This window comes from Homo sapiens, chromosome 6 (assembly GCF_000001405.40).
Source record: "Homo sapiens chromosome 6, GRCh38.p14 Primary Assembly".
Lineage (NCBI taxonomy): Eukaryota > Metazoa > Chordata > Mammalia > Primates > Hominidae > Homo > Homo sapiens.
Genome location: NC_000006.12, coordinates 75,157,180 through 75,176,586, shown reverse-complemented (window position 1 = coordinate 75,176,586; position 19,407 = coordinate 75,157,180). Strand labels below are relative to the sequence as shown.

Below are 19,407 nucleotides of genomic sequence, written 5' to 3'. Positions count from 1 at the left end.
TTACAAGGAGTATCCATTATCTCTTGGTCTGCATCACCCTTCTCTGTCCCACTGCCCTCCCTCCCTCTACATCACTCTCCCCACTCCTACTGCATTCCTCTCCCTCCTCCCCCACTGCGTCATGCTCCCACCGCCCACTGCCCTCCCTCCCACTGCATCACTTTCCCTCCTCCCACTGCATCACTCTCCCACCTCCCACTGCATCACTCTCCCACCTCCCACAGCATCCCTCTCCCTCCTCCCACTGCATCACTCTCCCTCCTCCCACTGCATCACTCTCCCACCTCACACTGTATCACTTTCCTTCCTCCCCCACTGCATCACGCTCCCACTGCCCATTGCCCTCCCTCCCACTGCATCTCTCTTCCTCCTTTCACTGTTTCACTCTCCTCTCTTCCCCCTGCAACCTAGCTCATTAGCCTGTTCTGCTATGGAGGCTTTCTCTTTTTACCTGCTTCCTTCCTCCTCTCTTCCATTGGTGAAGTGTGACTACTTCATTGGTTTTCTCTCTTGCTGAGGGTCTAGGGCTCTTTGTGCTGGGTACCATAATGTGACCCAATACCTCTTTATCTTTCTATTTTCTGGAGTAAAACTAGCTGGCTTTTATATGCTCAGTGGAGAGTGACATAGGGCTGGATTCCTTAGGAACCTTCAAAGAGGACATGACCAATCTACAAAGAAAGTCATGAAATAGCAGACATCACAGCTACAAAAGGATGGGTGGTCCCTCGGGATTTGTACCCAAGGCTCGGTCTCACTTAGCTGTTTTTTCTCTTACTTTTTTTCCCCCTAGGGAAAGCAATATGTTTATAATTTATCATTTTTATTATATCAGAATTCGCTCCTGTTACCTTTAGATGTTCATAGCATTACACTGATTAACTGTTTTTACTGAAGATTTCTTAAAGGAATTAAAATCTGCATTGTAATACTAATCAATGTGTATATATTTTATAGTGCTTTGTTCCACTTTTAAGGAAATACAGGGAAACTATTTTATAGGAAATATTCTAACATGAAAGATTTTACATGGAAGATTTTAACCTTTGTAAACACAGAAAAGGGACTGAATATCTTTCCCCTTGTTTCTACTAACATATAGGGTCTGATTCAGAGATGCTTAAGCTTTGTTGGCTGGTCAACAGTTAAAATTGTCATAGTCTCACCCAGGATATAACTTTGATGTAGTGCACATGCATAAGTAAAGTAACAAAGTGTTTTTCAAGTCATTTTTTTAAATAATGGGTTTTGATGATGTTGTCATTTTTTAATGAAGTTAGAGGGAATCCAAGAGACTTAAGAGTTTCTGACCCTACGACGTCTACTATGAAATTATCTTGGAGTGGGGCACCAGGAAAAGTGAAACAGTATCTCGTCACATATACCCCAGTGGCAGGGGGTGAAACTCAAGAGGTCACTGTGAGGGGAGATACAACCAATACGGTGCTGCAGGGATTGAAGGAAGGGACACAATACGCCTTATCTGTGACAGCCTTGTATGCGTCTGGGGCTGGAGACGCCCTCTTTGGTGAAGGAACAACACTTGAAGGTAATTACCATCATATTTTCTGAAAATCCAGGAACTTGTTTGTGGTGCTGCCTCTAGGAAGCTTAAAATGTCTTCAGACAATGAATCTAGAAGTGTGCAATCCTTTCTCTTAAAAAGAATCCATATTGAAAAACAAATAACCATAAAGCTCTCTGTTATTCAGAGATGTAGAATGTAAGCAACTGAAAAAATTAAACTTGATTCAGAAGTGCCTTGGGGAGCTGGATGCATAATAAGACCAAAGAGATGTGTTTATAGTTCCATGGGTTGGTTGAAAGGAGAATAGGTGTATGACATTCAGAGCGAGAAGGGACCTTGGGAAACATCTATGAAAAAAGGTTTGGATTGCCCAAGTTTATGCAGCTAGTTCTATCTTTCAGATCCAGATAAGAGCCATTTTCTGACTTCCATTCAAGTGCTCTTTCCATTTACCATGCATAAAAGCTCAAGAAATATAAGAATCCAAGTTTCTTTTTTTTTGTGAGACAGAGTCTCGCTCTTTCGCCCAGGCTGGACTGCAGTGGCGCTATCTCGGCTCACTGCAAGCTCTGCCTCTATGGTTCACGCCAGTCTCCTGCCTCAGCATCCCAAGTAGCTGGGACTACAGGCGCCCGCCACCACGCCTGGCTAATTTTTTGTATTTTTAGTAGGGACGGGGTTTCACCATGTTAGCCAGGATGATCTCGATCTCCTGACCTCGTGATCCGCCCGCCTCGGCCACCAAAATGCTGGGATTACAGGCCTGAGCCACCGCGCCTGGCCAAGAATCCAAGTTTCTATTTGTTTTCTAAGTGATTTCTGAAATTCCGTTCTGTATTAAATTTTCAAAGTGATTGCGATAAAGTACTTAGTAAGAAACATCAGCAAGACTGGAGCAGTTTCCTTGGTTCTTTAGAGTTAATTGTCAGAGGCCTTTATATTTTTTAGGATTTTTGAGATATAATCACAGCTTAGGTTTAACTCACCACAGCTACTAAGTGAATAATGCAAGGGAGAGAAAATACAAATTTAATTGCACCGCAATGAGAATGGATTGCAATGCTAAAAATCCCATGATGTTGACTCAGTCCTATAACTGGGGGCCTACATGGACTATCAGCAATAGCTTTCCTTCTCCTATCATTATATTTTATATGATTTATTTTAAATGATTATAGGAAGAAAATGAATCTGAAGTATCTTCTAATATGAAATCACAGTGACTAAGCAAAATATCCATCAAAGTTGATGGCTCCAGGAGCTTGGAAGGTTGTAGATATTGTAATTAATGAGACAGGACATACAATAGGCAGTTCTTAGAAACTTCAAGGGTTAAGAATGAAAAACAAATAAATAAAAAATACTAATTTAAATAGTAGTGATCGGGCAGGCGTGGTGGCTCACGCCTGTAATCCCAGCACTTTGCGAGACCAAGGCAGGTGGATCACCTGAGGTCAGGAATTCGAGATCAGCCTGGCCAACATGGTAAAACCCTGTCTCTACTAAATACAAAAATTAGCTGTGCGTGGTGGCGCATGCCTGTAATCCCAGCTACTTGGGAAGCTGAGGCAGGAGAATCACTTGAACTCGAGAGGCGGAGGTTGCAGTGAGCCGAGATTGCACCATTGCACTCCAGGCTGGGCAACAAGAATGAAACTCCATCTCAAAAAAAAAAAATAATAATAATAGTGATCAAGAGTTAAATTTCCATAGTCCATGAAATCTGTTTCTAGAAAAAGATTTAAATGAAAGATTAAATACCAGTGTTTAAAGTACTTACAACTAGAAGAGTCCCAGTTGTACTGCTTAGCTGTGTGACCTGGAGTAAACCTTTAACCCCTCTGGGCCTTAGTTTATTCATCTATAAAGAAGGGATGATTATCCTCCCTCTTTCTTCCCAGAGTTATTGTTGAGATCAAATGGGAGAATGTAAGTGAAATTCATTGGAAACTGTAAAATACTCTATGTCTACAAAATTCATCAAGAGGACATAGCTTATTAACTTTAGATCTGATATCTAAAAGCCTCTTGGTATACTCAGGGTTGGGGGCTGCAGATTGGTTCCAAGACGCCTGCATATACCAAAATCCCCTGCATATACCAAAGTCCTCTTATACTCAAGTCCGGCAGTCGGCCCTAGGGAACCTGTATATGTGAAAAGTTGGCCCCCGGATATAGGTGGCTTTCGCATCCTGTGAATACTGTATTTTTCGTCTGCGTTTTGTTGAAATAAATCTGCATATAAGTGGACCTTCACAGTGCAAACCCATGCTGTCAACTGTATAGCTTTAGTATTTCAAATATAATTGGTAACACAAAAAGTTTTGAAAAAAATAGTAGAAACAGAAATTGCCTTAAATACACAGACATAATCCAAACAAAAAAAGCTTGTGATCTTTACAATCTGGGGCAACATCCAGAATTTTGGAGAAATTTGTCCTTTTCTTTGGACCTTTTGAAGTTCTGTTTCTCCATATGCTTTCCACAATCTTTTAGCATAGGTTGTTCATAAGATTTTTTTAGAGGACAAACTTTCACTCTTTATTTTTTACAGGATAGATGTAGATTGTATTTGTGAACATTTCTTCTTTATAAGGAGTATCTTGGAAATAATTTAATAGTTTTTCTTCTGGTTGTGCCTTTTAGCCTTCTGGTATTCATTTGTGCTTTCTTGCTTTTAAAAATATATTTATGCTCAGTAAAAATCTTCTCGATTCTAAAAATTAAGGCATTTTTGCCAAGAATAATATATTACAAATTGTATTTAACAAAATGTACTTTTTAATTTTACAGGAAGCACATTCTACTAGGCTGTGATTTTTGTAAGCCAGATGTATTGCTCAATTGTTTATAATATTATAGCTCTTCACAAGTGGTATCAAAAACCTATCAACTTGTACGCATGTGTGAGTATACACACACGCACGTGTCTTTGATAAGAAACAATCTCTAAGGGAAACACATAGCTAGTAAAATAAATTTTAAAAGCTATTGTTTTCTATTTCCTGAGAAGAAGGAAAGCTAGATAATTTGCAAGTTTGCTTAAAAAAATACAGTTAATTCCTAACTAAATTGTAGTAATTTACAATGGACATTTTGTTCATTTATGCTAAAGTGCTTTACTGCAGTGAAGGATTACCGAAGGGCCTCCAGCCTGATTTTGTTAACATATTTATCCCATTGCATTATGTGTGGTAAACTTGACAAATATGTGAAAGCATAGTTGTGACTAAATGAAAATAATAGAAGATTTTTGCCCCTGGTTATTCCATTTCATTTTATTGTATTAACTCAGCCAAATCCACATACCATATACAGGAATAGGATATGATGGTAAATGCAGGGAGTGGAAAGCCCAGAAACAGAGCCAGGCAACTGCTTTTGAGGGCTGCTGTTTTTCTAATTTGTTTTTCTCTTGGGAGAGGAGGTGGTAAGAGCAGAACTTGAAGGAATGTTTCCTTTATCCAGAGGCATGGTGTCAGCCGGCAGGAGCATTCTGTAGGTTGGACATCTTATAGATTACCTCAAATGCATTATGGCTTTCAATTCAAAAGGAAATAAAGTTGTTGTTGTTTTGTATTTTGAAAAAATGTGTAGTGTGGTCTACAACCATCCCTAACTTGAATCTATTTCCTAGTACTTTTTTTGAAATGCAGCCAATGATCAGAAAATTCCCTTGTTGCTGGAAGAGAGATTTATTAGCACTGGCATTGGGGAAGTTCATGGTTGGCTGTAGTACTGTATGCAATAGAATCACAAAGGCAGAGTTTATTACTATTTCAGATCCAAACTTCAGAGGAATGTGAGCATACATCATTAGGTTTGATTTACATTGTTTTTTTCCCCTGTTGTTGTTAGAGCAGTTAGACAATGTAATTACAACAACCCTACTGTATATGTAATTGAACTTCAAGTCTTGAAAGAACCTTTAATTGCTGCTGTTAGTGCTTGGAGGAAAATCTGTTTTTATAAACCTCTCAATAAATACTGCCCATTTTAATTCAGCGATTGACCACAAATGAAGGAGAATTTCAATTTGAAGAATAATATGTTTTCTTGTTAAATTTTTGAGTGTTGTTTTTTGGCTATGGAAAATATGACTTTTTAGAATTTCCTTTGTTTCAGTTGCTATAGCAACCTGCTAATGTCCTGGATATGAATGGCTTCCTACAGATCAAACCAAGTGTATTCAGTTGACATTTTGTTACAATGAGGTTTTTAGCACATCTCAGGAATTCTGCATGATGTTGAGTAACATGGGCCCCTTAAAGATGGACTAAACAAGGCCTCTGTGTTTTCCCTGATTTACTGCTGTCTCATAATTTGAAAAATCATACATTCTGGGTATAATAACTCTGACGTTGCCAGGGAACTTTAGCACAGTCACCAAACAATAATTTCTATTTCCTTTTTCTGTGAATTAATTGCTTGTCAGATAAAAATTGAAGTCAATGTGGAGAGGTGATAATTACGGAAGAAACACTTTTTTGCTCAAGCCGACTTTGAAGTTGAATGGTAATTTAATTGTTAAGTTGTTTTTAAGAACTGTGCATAGCTTAAAGTAACTGAGTTAACTTATCAATAGTGAACTTTGTCCTTTGGAATGGTGGCTCTAATTCATTGGTTGTAAATCAAATGTATTTCCACATGAATGTTATCCACAAGCAGATCTTCTGTATTGCTGTGGAAAGTTGGATGACTTTTGAGCTGAGCTCTAATGGAAAAGACAAATTGATTTAGAAGAGAGTTTACGTTACATTTTCAATTTAACTTCTATTTTTGAAAGTGGTATATGAAACTCAATGAAAGCTGGCTGGAACAATCTATAAGATGAAATGCAGTTTTATTTCATGATGATTAATTTTTCATTTATCATTGGCTAATTTGTGTTATAATTATATTTGAATTGGATGATAATTTGCTTTTCAGAAAGAAAATGGAAAAGGGGTAAGGAAACATAGGAAAGTTACTTAAATGAGGCATTAGTTCTTTGGCTTGGTATGTGGAAAAAAGCAGTGTAGGAATCAATCCCTTCAGGATGTTCAGATCATGAGAAGTAGACCTGTCTGAATTACTTCCCACAGCAGCAGCACAGAGACACATGCAAGCACACACTAGAAAAATGGCTTTTGAATAGATGTAACTATGTTTTATAATAAGGACAGAAATGCTGAGTAGCCAGATTTCAAAACCTGATAGAGTTTTATACCTTTAAACTTATGACATTTATACCTATACTGGTACTATACTAGGAAGAATAAAGTGTAAGGGAAAATTGTCAAGATAGAATCAAAGGAATGGTAATAAAGGAATATCATCATTGTAGATGATGACTTGTTTGAAATGATTGCCAGAATTTCTATTACCAGAGATAAAATTAATAGAGAGAACACAGGCATATATCCAGAACAGAAGAGAGCAAGTACTATGAGACTAAACATTATTCAAAAAAAACCCTAAACAAACCCCAGCACCATAAGACACATATTTGTAAATCTTGGGGAACAGAAGAAAGAGGAGGACCTCAGAAGGGAGGGAGCCTCTGCTAGAGCAAAAGTAGATCTAGGTTCAGGGAAAGGTAGTGACTACATGGCAAAAAGTCTACTAGGGTTGCTTTCTGTTCACTGCCACTGTTTCTATGCCTTCCCCTTTTGAGGAGCAGTAACCTCTCCTAGAGATAGCCTACAGACTGGTCTTCTGGCATCTTTACGTTCTTCTCCCTCTCTCTTTCCTAGTCCCTCTTAGGTACTCTAAAAAGGGACTCTTGCATAAACCCAATATAATGAAACTAAACCAAAGCAAGTCGGATAATTTCTTCCTGTAGTTACTGATGTCTGGAGCTCCTCAGATTCAGGACAAAAATGACAATGTATTGAACCAAGTAAATGCCTTGCTAGGTAACACTTAGAACTTCATTAATGTGAAAATGTGCTCAGCTCTTCAATAAGAGGCATGCGTGTGTTCAGAGCCATTTCCTGTCGAGACAAGATGGAGGGGAGAAGAGAGCAGTGAACATCCCACATGTGTCCATGGAGATGTGATGAAAAGCTTAAATCATCTCCTCTGTTCTCTGAGGGTCAGCCTTGAGATTATTTTGCCGCCTAAAGCAGTGATTTTCTGTACATGGCAATATAACCACACAAAATACAAGCCACCCAGCAGTCCTACAGAGCATCATGTGTGTAATGATTTTGACCAGTTTACCTTCACCATACCTGTCTTTATTTTGAAGGAGCACCATTTCTATGTGAAAGCAGATTTGAGGTTCCTTCCCACACTGACCCAGCACACCTCCCGAATAAATGCTTCTCTAGACCTCAGAGAGGAGAAGTAGAAAGAAGAGCAAAAAGGGGAAAGAATAAAGAATTGTAGAGGTTTTGGAATCACAGGGCAGATTTAAAAGATATTTAGAAGGCACCAGTACTTAGGTGCATCCCCAAATATTCCAATTTAATTGATTTGGGTAGGGTCCAGCCTTTGTTTTTTCAGGCAATTCTGTTTATCGGTTCAAGTCCAGTCCAGTTATTTTGCTGCTGAGGGCCCCAAGGCCCCAGGAGGTGACATAGCCTGTTGTTGACCTGCTCAGATGGTTGCATACCTGGCCCCAAGACCAGTTCAGCCACTTGCCAGCTTCCATCCTGCCAACTGTACCACAGGGCGCAATCCACTTGCTTCATTTTTTGGTAATCTAATGTTTGGCCAAACCAAGATCTCATTTTTTAAAAATTCAAGGGCTATACATTTACTTGTCATGAGTACAACTTATTCTCAAAATTCCTGGTTGTAATGTAACAGAATATTCAGCCCTCCTCCCTAAAAAAAATTATCAATGTGTTTGGGGAGCAGGATGGATTTAATATTTAGGAATATTCTTATCAAACTGACTGATTGACATGTAAGAAACCCATATGAAGCAGTTTATCTTCTCAATTGTGGTGTCTCGATTGAACTATCTTTCTCCTTTCTTTGGAGTCTATGTTGCTATGTCACTAACATGGAATGTTGTAGTGACAGTGCCTGCCTTTACATACCACAGGCAGAACTACAATTTTTAGTGAGTTTTTTTCTGAGATTGAGAACTTACTCAGTGTTCACTCAAAATAGTGTTGTCATGCCATTAATTAGAGCTTAAAAATATTTTTTAGTTGATTTTTAATTTGCATCTTAAAAAGTGCTGTTGTAGATTATTTTCAGGATATCGATAAACCTTGGGAAAGGTCTTCATTGCATTTTACTAGTATTTTGTTCTAGCTTTACAAGTCTTGAGAGTGTTAAAATAGTTGATTAAAATCCATAGGAAGACATGTCTTGTGATCTTAAATCCTTTTGTTTTAAGCCCAGAAATATCTTTGTGAATGTATTTTTGCTTCAACCACAATTCTCTTCCTATTATTTTTCTCACAGTGAAATCATTAGCCTGTGTTTATGAGATTGATGTCTGTTGTCATGGAAATAAACAATGTCACAAATTTAGTGCTGTAGAAAGAAAAATAGGTTGAGAAGCAAAACCTTTGGGAAAAATAAAAGCTGAAATTGTTTTAAAATTACCCCGGTGTTAATTTGAAAGATAATTTCCACATTCTAGTTAACCTTATTTGTCTGATACTTTTTTGAAACGTCGTTAATGCAGCTCATTTAAATTCAAAATTGCTTTCAAGCAAGGTCATTTCACAACAGCTGTTCCTGACTGCAATCTAGGAAATTTAGAGGAAAAGGCACATATTGAAAATTGTATATATCAAGCAAAGGAAAAACGTGCTGTACATTTAAAACTTAGAGACTAGTTGTTGGGATATCGATTATCAAAACAAATAAAAAACAAAACAAAGAAGCCCACAGCCAAACCAAATAAAACAAACAGTTTTAAATTGTACTTTTATATTCCAAGTAGAGAAAATAGAAAGGTGTATGACCATTTACATAGTAAAGACAGCTAAAGAAGACTTTCAAATGGGAATTAACCTCAAGAGCTGAGGGTAAAAATTCAATGTGCTCTTAAAAATAAGTATTCTTTGTTCCAGTGAAATATGTAACTAATTTCCTTCCAGGGATGAGATGTGCTGTCAGCAGTTAAAGTTATTTATAATGGAGTTAGAATTTTCCATTTGGGCTTGGGGTCTGGTAGGCTGCCCAGCTTCTGTTTCATTTATTTTTTCCCTCTAAATCGACCATATATGATAGGTTTTTGTCCACCTAGATTTCTTTTTCATTCATTGTTACCTTTACTTTTTGTGTTGAAATATAATTGTTAAATTATGACTGCGTTTAAGATATTCATTTTAACTCTTTGAGTTAAGTAAAATAATAGTTTTTAAAATTCTTGTAAGAGCATTATATATCATTTGCATGAATATACAACAATTACTGGTAAAATGTATGCTGGGAAGCAGATAGATTTGTATTTATGTCATACTGTGGCATAAACCCTAGTAAAGGTAGACAATATAAAGTGACCTGTATATTTATCTTACATTTAAAATATGGAGAGTGAGGGTTTTATTGAAAGACATTTGTGCCTCCTGTTAAGTTGAGGTTTCCATATTTTTCCACTTGGGTTGTATGTTTTTTGAATGAAAGAGCCAAAATTTAGTAGCAGACGTTTTTGATCAGCTAGAACAAGTGGTATGTTTTATTTTGGTGACTAATCACTTTTAAGTTTTCCAGAAGAATTGGTTGTTTTCAATTTTGTTAGGGTTAAGCTATATTGAAAGTTTGCACTGCTACGTTTTAAACTGCATGAGCAAATAAAAGTTTCACCAATAAACTGTTGTTGGCATTAAGTTTTGTAAGTGATATGAGATTGTTGCAGTTGTTGTAAATCATGCATTGAAACTGAGTTTATTTAAATTAGATCAGAGAGGAAAAGATCATGGTAAGGAAATAAAGATCTTTGTGAACAATGGGCCATGTCACAAGGCAGACAAAAATGTGATAAAATTCTGGGACTTAGATACATTTTTTTTCCTTTGGAATTTTTTTTTAAAGACAAATACTCCTTCAAATTTGGATGTCAATCTTGTCCTGAAGGACAAGATTATCTGACTAGGCATATGAGGGCAAAGTTAAGAGGTAGGAATCAAATAGAATTCTAAAGTTTTATTGCATCTATCTATTCCACAGACAGAATAGGATGGACAACTCAAAAAGAAGAAATGGGCAATTTTAGACAAATTGAGTGTGAGTCCAGCAAGTCAGAATCTCTACCAGGATCAATGAATATAATACTTAAATACCTACTAGACATTTTTAAAAAAGATTCCCTTTTAATTTCTGTTCTAGAACGTGGTTCTCCTCAAGATTTAGTTACTAAAGACATCACTGACACATCAATTGGGGCTTATTGGACATCTGCTCCAGGAATGGTTCGCGGTTACAGGGTCTCATGGAAATCACTTTATGATGATGTTGACACTGGAGAGAAAAATCTGCCTGAAGATGCAATTCATACGATGATAGAAAATCTGCAGCCAGAGACCAAATACAGAATTTCAGTATTTGCCACTTACAGCAGTGGAGAAGGAGAACCTTTGACTGGAGATGCCACAACTGAATGTAGGTAACATTATGGGTGTGTTTGGGTGTGTGCCGGTGCTACCCAATAGTTATCAGCTCAAGTGACATGCAGTTTAATCACTTGAATGTTTTTTCTTTACATGATAAATGAAGACTGAGGAATTAGGATCTTTAAAGAATTTGGCTTAAATTCAGAGTAGGTTAGTGTCTAAAAGTATATCAAATTTTGAAATATCGAATCTCTTTCAACTACCTATATTTGTCTTTTTTTTTTTCTGGTGCAATGATTGACTAGATAGAATACCCAACTAGTAAAAAGACCAGAAGCTATGAAGCGAAGAGAATTTGGGCACATTTGTATAGCTGCATGATCTTTGTCAAGTTACTTAACCTTCTTTGAGCCTCAGTTTCCTAATCTGTAGAATGCAGATAATAAATCTTGTCTCTTAGAGTTGTGAGGATTGTATAAAATAGCAATATACAAAGTGGCCAGCATAGTGCCTAGCCACTTAGAGATGATTGATAAATGATTGATCGCTATTGAAACTATGATTATCATACAACCAAGACTTAACTTAGTTTTTTAATTTTTTATTTATTTTTATTTTTATTTTATTCCTATTATATTTGGTAAGGTCAAATCAAAAGCCCACTCAATTTTCTGATGGCTCAGATTTACCTCACTCTTACTGATATTTTTTTTTTGTAAATAATTATGAATTACCTATCATAATCATCTGGCTGGTGAAAGATGTGTCAGGATATCTTAATTCACTATCCTAAAAGGTTATTTGTTTAAGTGATAATCATGTGTCAGTGTAGGTTCAGCAGTTGTAACAAATGTACCACTTTGGTGAAGGATATTGATAATGCAGGAGGCTGTGCATGTGTGGAGGTGGGAAAAGGTACATGGGAAATTTCTGTACCTTCTGCTCAATCTCTGTACCAAAACTGCTCTAAAACAATACAAAATCTATTAAAAACAAACAATTGAAACCAAACCAAAGCAAATGTCATTTGTTAAGCATGGGCATTTCTAAGCATTTGTAGGAGAAAACTTTAATCCTTTTGTTTTGGGAAGGTTTTAGGAAAAGGAGAAAGACTGGGCATTCATGCATTTCCTTCTATAAAAAAGAAATAGAGGAATTTGGTGATTTTTCTGGCAAAGGAAGAGAGAGGGAGAAGTGCCATGAGCAATTTCAGTTAAGTCCTATATCTTGATTTTAAGTTGTCCTTAAACTAAAATCTTTGTGTCTAAGTTCATTTTCTTTTTATCATTTGCAAGCTCAGTTGGATGTTCAAGTTTAAATTTGTATCTTAATTCACCAGATTTTTAAAAATCAACTTCTTTATAGGAAATTTAAATATGTGAGAAGACATAGTTCTCAGATATTCACATGATTGGTTTCTATGGTAGTAAATAAAATCTTGTGTCTGGAATATATTGGCTGATGTAGTTTAAGAACATGGTAGAAATTCATTCTCTACTTTTGAGGAAATTCACTTGTCAAGAGAAGCTGTATTGTAAACTTAGGTCATATATGACACATAAAGCTAAATTTATTTGTAGGAGTACAGATACAGTTCATGTGGCTGAGAAATTACAAAAGTATATGTATTTAGAGGGATTTTTTTCCTCCAGAAATTATCCTCCGTTTTGTCTTTTTCCAAAAAGTTGGAGGCTTCAAATAATTATTTGGAATTTAAAATGTCTACAAGAGATGTGTTGTCGCCAAAAGCAAATATGGTGGCAGAAACTAAATAAATCTCTGTATCTCAGAAGATGAGCATCTAAGAAATTTTCAATATTTCTTGGCTAATTGCTTGATTTAAACATTGATGAACAGAAAGTCCTATTTTTTTCCCAAGTTAACTTTTTTTAAAATTATACTTTAAGTTCTGGGGTACATGCGCAGAATGTGTAGGTTTTTTACATAGGTATACACGTGCCATGGTGGTTTGTTGCACCCATCAACCCATCATCTACATTAGGTATTTCTCCTAATGCTATCCCTCCCCTAGCCCCCTACCCTACTACAGGCCCCGGTGTGTGAGGTTCCCCTCCCTGTGTCCATGTATTCTTATTGTTCAACTCCCACTTATGAGTGAGAACATATGGTGTTTGGTTTTCTGTTCTTGCATTAGTATGCTGAGAATGTTCGTTTTCAACATGATCCATGTCCTTGCAAAGGACATGAACTCATCCTTTTATATGGCTGCATAGTATTCCATGGTGTATATGTGTCACATTTTCTTTATCCAGTCTGTCACTGATGGGCATTTGGGTTGGTTCCAAGTCTTTGCTATTGTGAACACTGCTGCAATAAACATACGTGTGCTTGTGTATTTATAGTAGAATGATTTATAATCCTTTGGGTATATATCCAGTAATGGGATTGCTGGGTCAACTGGTATTTCTAGTTCTAGATCCTTGAGGAATCACCACACTGTCTTACACATTGGTTGAACTAATTTACACTGCTACCAACAGTGTAAAAGCGTTCCTATTTCTCCACATCCTCTCCAGCATCTGTTGTTTCCTGACTTTTTAATGATTGCCATTCTAACTGGTGTGAGCTGATATCTCATTGTGGTTTTGATTTGCATTTCTCTAATGATCAGTGATGATGATCTTTTTTTCATATGTCTGTTGGCTGCATAAATGTCTTCTTTTGAGAAGTGTCCATTAATATCCTTTGCCAACTTTTTCATGGGGTTGTTTGATATTTTCTTGTAAATCTGTTTCAGTTCTTTGTAGATTCTGGATATTAGCCCTTTGTCAGATGTATAGATTGCAAAAATTTTCTCCCATTCTGTAGGTTGCCTGTTCACTCTGATGATAGTTTCTTTTGCTGTGCAGAAGCTCTTTAGTTTAATCAGATTCCATTTGTCTATTTTGGCTTTTATTGCCATTGCTTTTGGTGTTTTAGTCATGAAGCCTTTGCCCATGCCTATGTCTTAAATGGTATTGCATAGGTTTTCTTCTAGGGATTTTTATGGTTTTAGGCCTTACATTTAAGTCTTTACTCCATCTTGAGTTAATTTTTGTATAAGGTGTAAGGAAAGGATCCAGTTTCAGCTTTCTGTGTATGGCTAGCCAGTTTTCCCAACACCATTTATTAAATAGGGAATCCTTTCCCCATTGCTTGTTTTTGTCAGATTTGTCAAAGATCAGATGGTTATAGATGTGTGGTGTTATTTCTGAGGCCTCTGTTCTGTTCCATTGGTCTATTTATTGCACTTTACGTTTTTGGTACCAGTACTGTGCTGTTTTTGTTACTGTAGCCTTCTAGTATAGTTTGAATTCAGGTAGCTTGATGCCTCCAGCTTTGTTCTTTGTGGGTAGGATTGTCTTGGCTATGTGGACTCTTTTTTGGTTCCATCTGAAATTTAATGTAGTTTTTTCTAATTCTTGAAGAAAGTCAATGGTAGCTTGATTGGGATAGCATTAAATCTATAAATTACTTTGGGCAGTATGGCCATTTTGACAGTATTGATTCTTCATATCTACAAGCATGGAATGTTTTTCCATTTGTTTCTGTCCTCTCTTATTTCCTTGAGAGTGGTTTGTAGTTCTCCTTGAAGAGGTCCTTCACATCCCTTGTAAGTTGTATTCCTAGGTATTTTATTCTCTTTGTAGCAATTGTGAATGGGAGTTCACTCATGATTTGGCTGTTTGTCTGTTATTGGTGTATAAGAATGCTTGTGATTTTTGCACATTGATTTTGTATCCTGAGACTTTGCTGAAGTTGCTTATCAGCTTAAGGAGATTCTGGGCTGAGACAGTGAGGTTTTCTAAATATACAATCTTGTCATCTGCAAACAGAGACAATTTGACTTCCTCTTTTCCTAATTGAATGCCCTTTATTTCTTTCTCTTGCCTGATTGCCTTGGCCAGAACTTCCAATACTATGTTGAATAGGAGTAGTGAGAGAGGGCATCCTTGTCTTGTGCCAGTTTTCAAAGGGAATGCTTCCAGTTTTTGCCCATTCAATATGATATTGGCTGTGGGAGGCCTCTTTTGAACAAGGAGCAGACGTGGCAGGAATGAAATGTTCATTTTTAGGTTACGATTGGCCCTCCATATTCTCAGGTTCCACATGTGCAAAAGTAACCAACTGCTGATAGACAATATTTTTTAAAAAGCAATAAGAAATAACAATACAACAATAAATAATAATGCTAGTAAAATACAGTATAATAATTATTTATATGACATTTACATTGTATTATAAGTAATGCAGAGATGATTTAAAGTTAACAAGTTCTCAAATAATATCATAACATTGATGAGAAAAAAGAATTGGTTCCTGGTGGGGGTCACCATCTGTGTGGAGTTTGCACATCCTCTCCATGTCTGTGGGTTTCCTCCAGGTACTCTAGTTACCTCCCACATCTCAAAGATGTGCATGTTAGGTGAGCTGGTGCGTCCACGTGGTCCCAGCCTGAGTGAGTGTGGGTGTGTGTGTGTGTGCCTAGGATGGGGTTCTCCCTTTCGCCCTGAGCTACTTGGACAGGCTGTGTCCACTGTGACCCTTAACTGGAATAAATGGGTGAATAATTATGTTACTGGTTTTCATTTATCTTTCTTAAATGTGTATATAGCTCACACATACATCAGTGTTTCTTATGAGAAGTGTTTTGGTTTTTATTGAGAAGTTTGGTGATGTTTTTGTGATCAGAAATATGATGTAGGAACTTAACTCTTGTTTATATCAATTAACCTCTGGAAAATTGGTTTCTTTATGTCAGTTGTTCAAAGTTGCAGTTTTCAAGAAATTATTTAACGTTAGGTGAGGGCTTACTGTATTAGGGAGGATATGCATAGGTTTATGCAAATACTATGCCATTTTATATCAGGAACTTGAGCATGTGAGGATTTTGGTTTCTATGGGAGATCCTGAAACCAATCTCCCATGGATACCAAAGGGCGACTGTATGTGAAAACTGCTGAAATGTCTAAGTAAATAAGAAAGAAGTCATGGACCTTTCTTTGTTCTACCACCACTTTGTTGTTGTTTAGAAAGTATTTTCAGAAATCTGAGTGAGATCTGCTATTCAGATGGTAGAGGAATCCTAAGGTGTGGATAACTCAGCAGAAACCCGAGCCCATGCTCCTAGAGTTTCACATATGCTTCCAAGAGGGCATTTTGGGAATGTCTTTAAGATTGCTTTCACCTGAAACTCAGGGACATGGTATGCAGACTGTTGATACAATGAAACGAATACATTGATACAATGAAAATCATGAATTGGGGTTAGAAAGCCAGCAGAAGGGACACTTTCTATTGCCCTTCTAATTTATGGCAGCTGGCTTAGCAGTGGTACAGTGGATGTTTGAAAGTGTCTGGTGATAGTTACTAACACATGAAAAGAACTTACAATGTGAGAGGGTGTAACAGCATTTAATGGCATGTGGTATCCAATCAATGATGTAAAAATTCTTGCTCTTTGGTTATGGGAAACCAACAAGGGTTTTTTTTTTTTCTCCCTAAAATCCAGTTTCCCATTAAAACTAGGATGAGATATGCTATACTGTATTTAATTTCAGTTTCTTTATTTTGAAGAGTTAATTAAAAGGCAGGAATATAAGTGAGGTTGTTAAAGTATATCAAGGTATGAGATATCACTTTTGGCTGTTATTAACATGTTTAAATTTTGAAACATTTTAAAGCTTGGCATCCCATTTTTTTTTGAAACTTAAGTTTCTTTAAACATTTTAAAGCTTGGCATCCCATTTTTTTTTGAAACTTAAGTTTCTTTTTAGATCAACATTCATAAGATTTAACTTTTTATTTTTCTAAATTCTGAGTTGTGTGAAATTCGTTTAAAAATTTTGTAAGAGAGAGAATGTCTTGTTCCACTGAGTAAAAATTTAAGAGATGAAACAAAAGATGAGAAAATGTATTGTAGCACAACCCCTTCTAGAAAACTGTTAGACACCCATCAACTTATTTGATATTTGTGACAACTGGTAATGCTAATAATCCAAATAGATTATTTTTCTATATACTATTCTTTCTTGTACTATTTTCAAAACTCCAGGTAAAAGTCTTTAGATTTTTTGTTTGGAAATACATATATATGTTTATATAATATATATTTTTATATAATAATATATATTTTATATATATAAACTTTTTTTCTTTTAATAGTTCACGTACCTGGAGAATAATAATAGCAAATTGATGATTAATCTAAATAAATTTTAATATTTCCAGAAAGTAATGGACTTCACTGAGAGTTCTCTTAGTTTCTTTAAACCTAAAAATAAAAATTGCAGCCAATATAATTTTGATTGAAATTATATTTTTTATCTCTCAGAAGCATAATTCATAACCATCATAACCATATATTGAATTTGCTTACTTTATCATTCTTATCTTTGTCCTCTATACATATTATGTGTTTTTAAAAAAATATGGCTGCTTTACAGATTTTATTTTTATTACTAATTTTAAGCAATTTAATTATGATGTGTCTTGGTATAGTTTCTTTATGTTTCTTGTGTTTGGGGTTCACTACACTTCTAGGATCTGTGAGTTTATGGTTTTTATAAAATTTGAACCAGTCCATCCCATTATTTTTTCAAATACTTTATTTATTACACCCCCACTTTATTCAGGTACTCCAATTAATTACACATATGTTAGTCTGCTTGAAGTTGTCACACAGCTCACTGATGCTCTGTTCATTAAAAAAATTTTTTCTTTCCTTGTGTTTCATGTTCTATTATAATGCCATCAAGTTCACTAATCATTTTTTTATATTTTCTAATCTGCTGTAAATATTATCTCATGTATTTTTCATTTTAGATTTATCTTTATCTCTAGAAGTTTAATTTGAGTCTTTTTATATGTTCTATATCTCTAGTTAAAATGCTTAATCTTTCTCCTACCATTATTACATATGAAATATAGTTATAATAAGTGTTTTAACATCCTTTTTAATTCTGTAATGTATGTCATTTCTAGTTCTGTTTCTATTGATTGATTTTTCTTCTTATTATGTGTTGTCTTAGTTTGGACTGTGATAACAAAAGGTATTACTATTGACTGAGTGGCTGTAACAACAGAAAGTTATTTTCTCACAGTTTTGGAGGCTGGAAAGTTCAAGATTAAGGTCTGGCAGGGTTTGATTTCTGGTGAGGGCTCTCTTCCTGGTGTGTGGTCACCTTCCTTTATGTCCTCATATGGCCTTTTCTCAGGCTGTGAATGTGGAAAGAGAGAGAGAGCTCTTTGGTGTCTCCTTTTTTTCTTATAAAGTCACCAAGCCTATCAGATTAAGGCTTCACTCTGATGACCTTATTAAACCCAAATTGCCTCCACAAAGGCCTCATGTTTAAATGTCATCACATTGAAGGTTGAGACTTCAATATATGAATTTAGTGGTGGGAGACCTTCAATCCATGATACAAGTCATAAGTTTTTCCTTTTTGGCATGTCTTGTAACTTTTATTAGATGTCAGATTTTGTGAATTTTATTTGCTTGGGTGCTAGATATTTTTATGTTCTTATAAATACTCTTAAGTTTTATTCTGGAATACAGTTAAGTTACTTGGAAATAGTTTGATCTGACATTTGCTTTTAAACTGTTTCAGTTTAGGACTAATTTTGCCCCATTATTGAGACAATCACCTACTAAATATCCTACATGATCTCCCTACAGTTGTGAGGTTTTCTCTTCTGGGTAGGGGGAACATTTCTAACCCTGTGTGAGCTCAATAAATTGTTCCCTGGGCTCCTTTGGGGTGGTTCTTTCCCTAGTTTTGGGTGGTTTTCTTACACATGTGCACTGATTATCCTAGGTTGAAGACCAAGTATTTTCTCTGTGGCACTCTCTCATTCACAGTACTCTATTCTTCAAGTTCTGGTTGCTTTGGGCTCTCCAGACTTGCAACAACATCTTGACAATTAAGGGAGGCCACCAGCCTCCATCTGGATTCCCCTTTCTTTTACTGGGGACTGGAAATTCCAAGCAATAGCTGGGCAATCATAGAACCTATTCCCCTTTGTTCCTTATCTCTCTTAGGGATCAGTGTCCTATGCCAGCTGATGTCGTGTCTGAAAATTATTGTGTTTATTTTTCTTAGGTTTTTTTTTTTCTGGGTTTCTTCATTGTTTCAAATGGCTCTTGACCACTTGAACACGAAATTTTCTCTTACAATCAGGAAAGATTCTTTGCTGATTTTGAATTTTGTTTAGCTTAATCTTTTTCTATAGAACATGTTTATGTTCTTTTGAACACTGATTATTGAACTGAATAAAATGGTCCTGCTTATGAACTCTAATTATATATAAAAATAGGATGTTGTAGGTTATTTGTGGCTGTTGGTTACTTATTTCATATAGCGTTATTAATAATTG

At 36.0% G+C, this 19,407-nt stretch overlaps 1 protein-coding gene across 10 annotated transcripts in view; it reads left to right on the top strand.

The window, feature by feature from the left end:
• COL12A1 (collagen type XII alpha 1 chain) overlaps window positions 1–19,407 on the top strand; it is a 121,728-nt gene that overhangs the window by 29,467 nt on the left and 72,854 nt on the right. For 5 of the 10 annotated variants that reach the window (NM_001424114.1, NM_001424113.1, NM_004370.6 and 2 more), the window contains 2 exons: window positions 1,277–1,549; window positions 10,808–11,080. The exons of 3 other annotated variants lie outside the window; for them this stretch is intronic. In NM_001424114.1, the coding sequence (NP_001411043.1) occupies window positions 1,277–1,549; window positions 10,808–11,080 (546 nt within the window). The remainder of the gene's footprint in view (window positions 1–1,276; window positions 1,550–10,807; window positions 11,081–19,407) is intronic. 2 more of the 10 variants (XM_011535435.2, NM_001424115.1) reach the window with 1 other exon arrangement.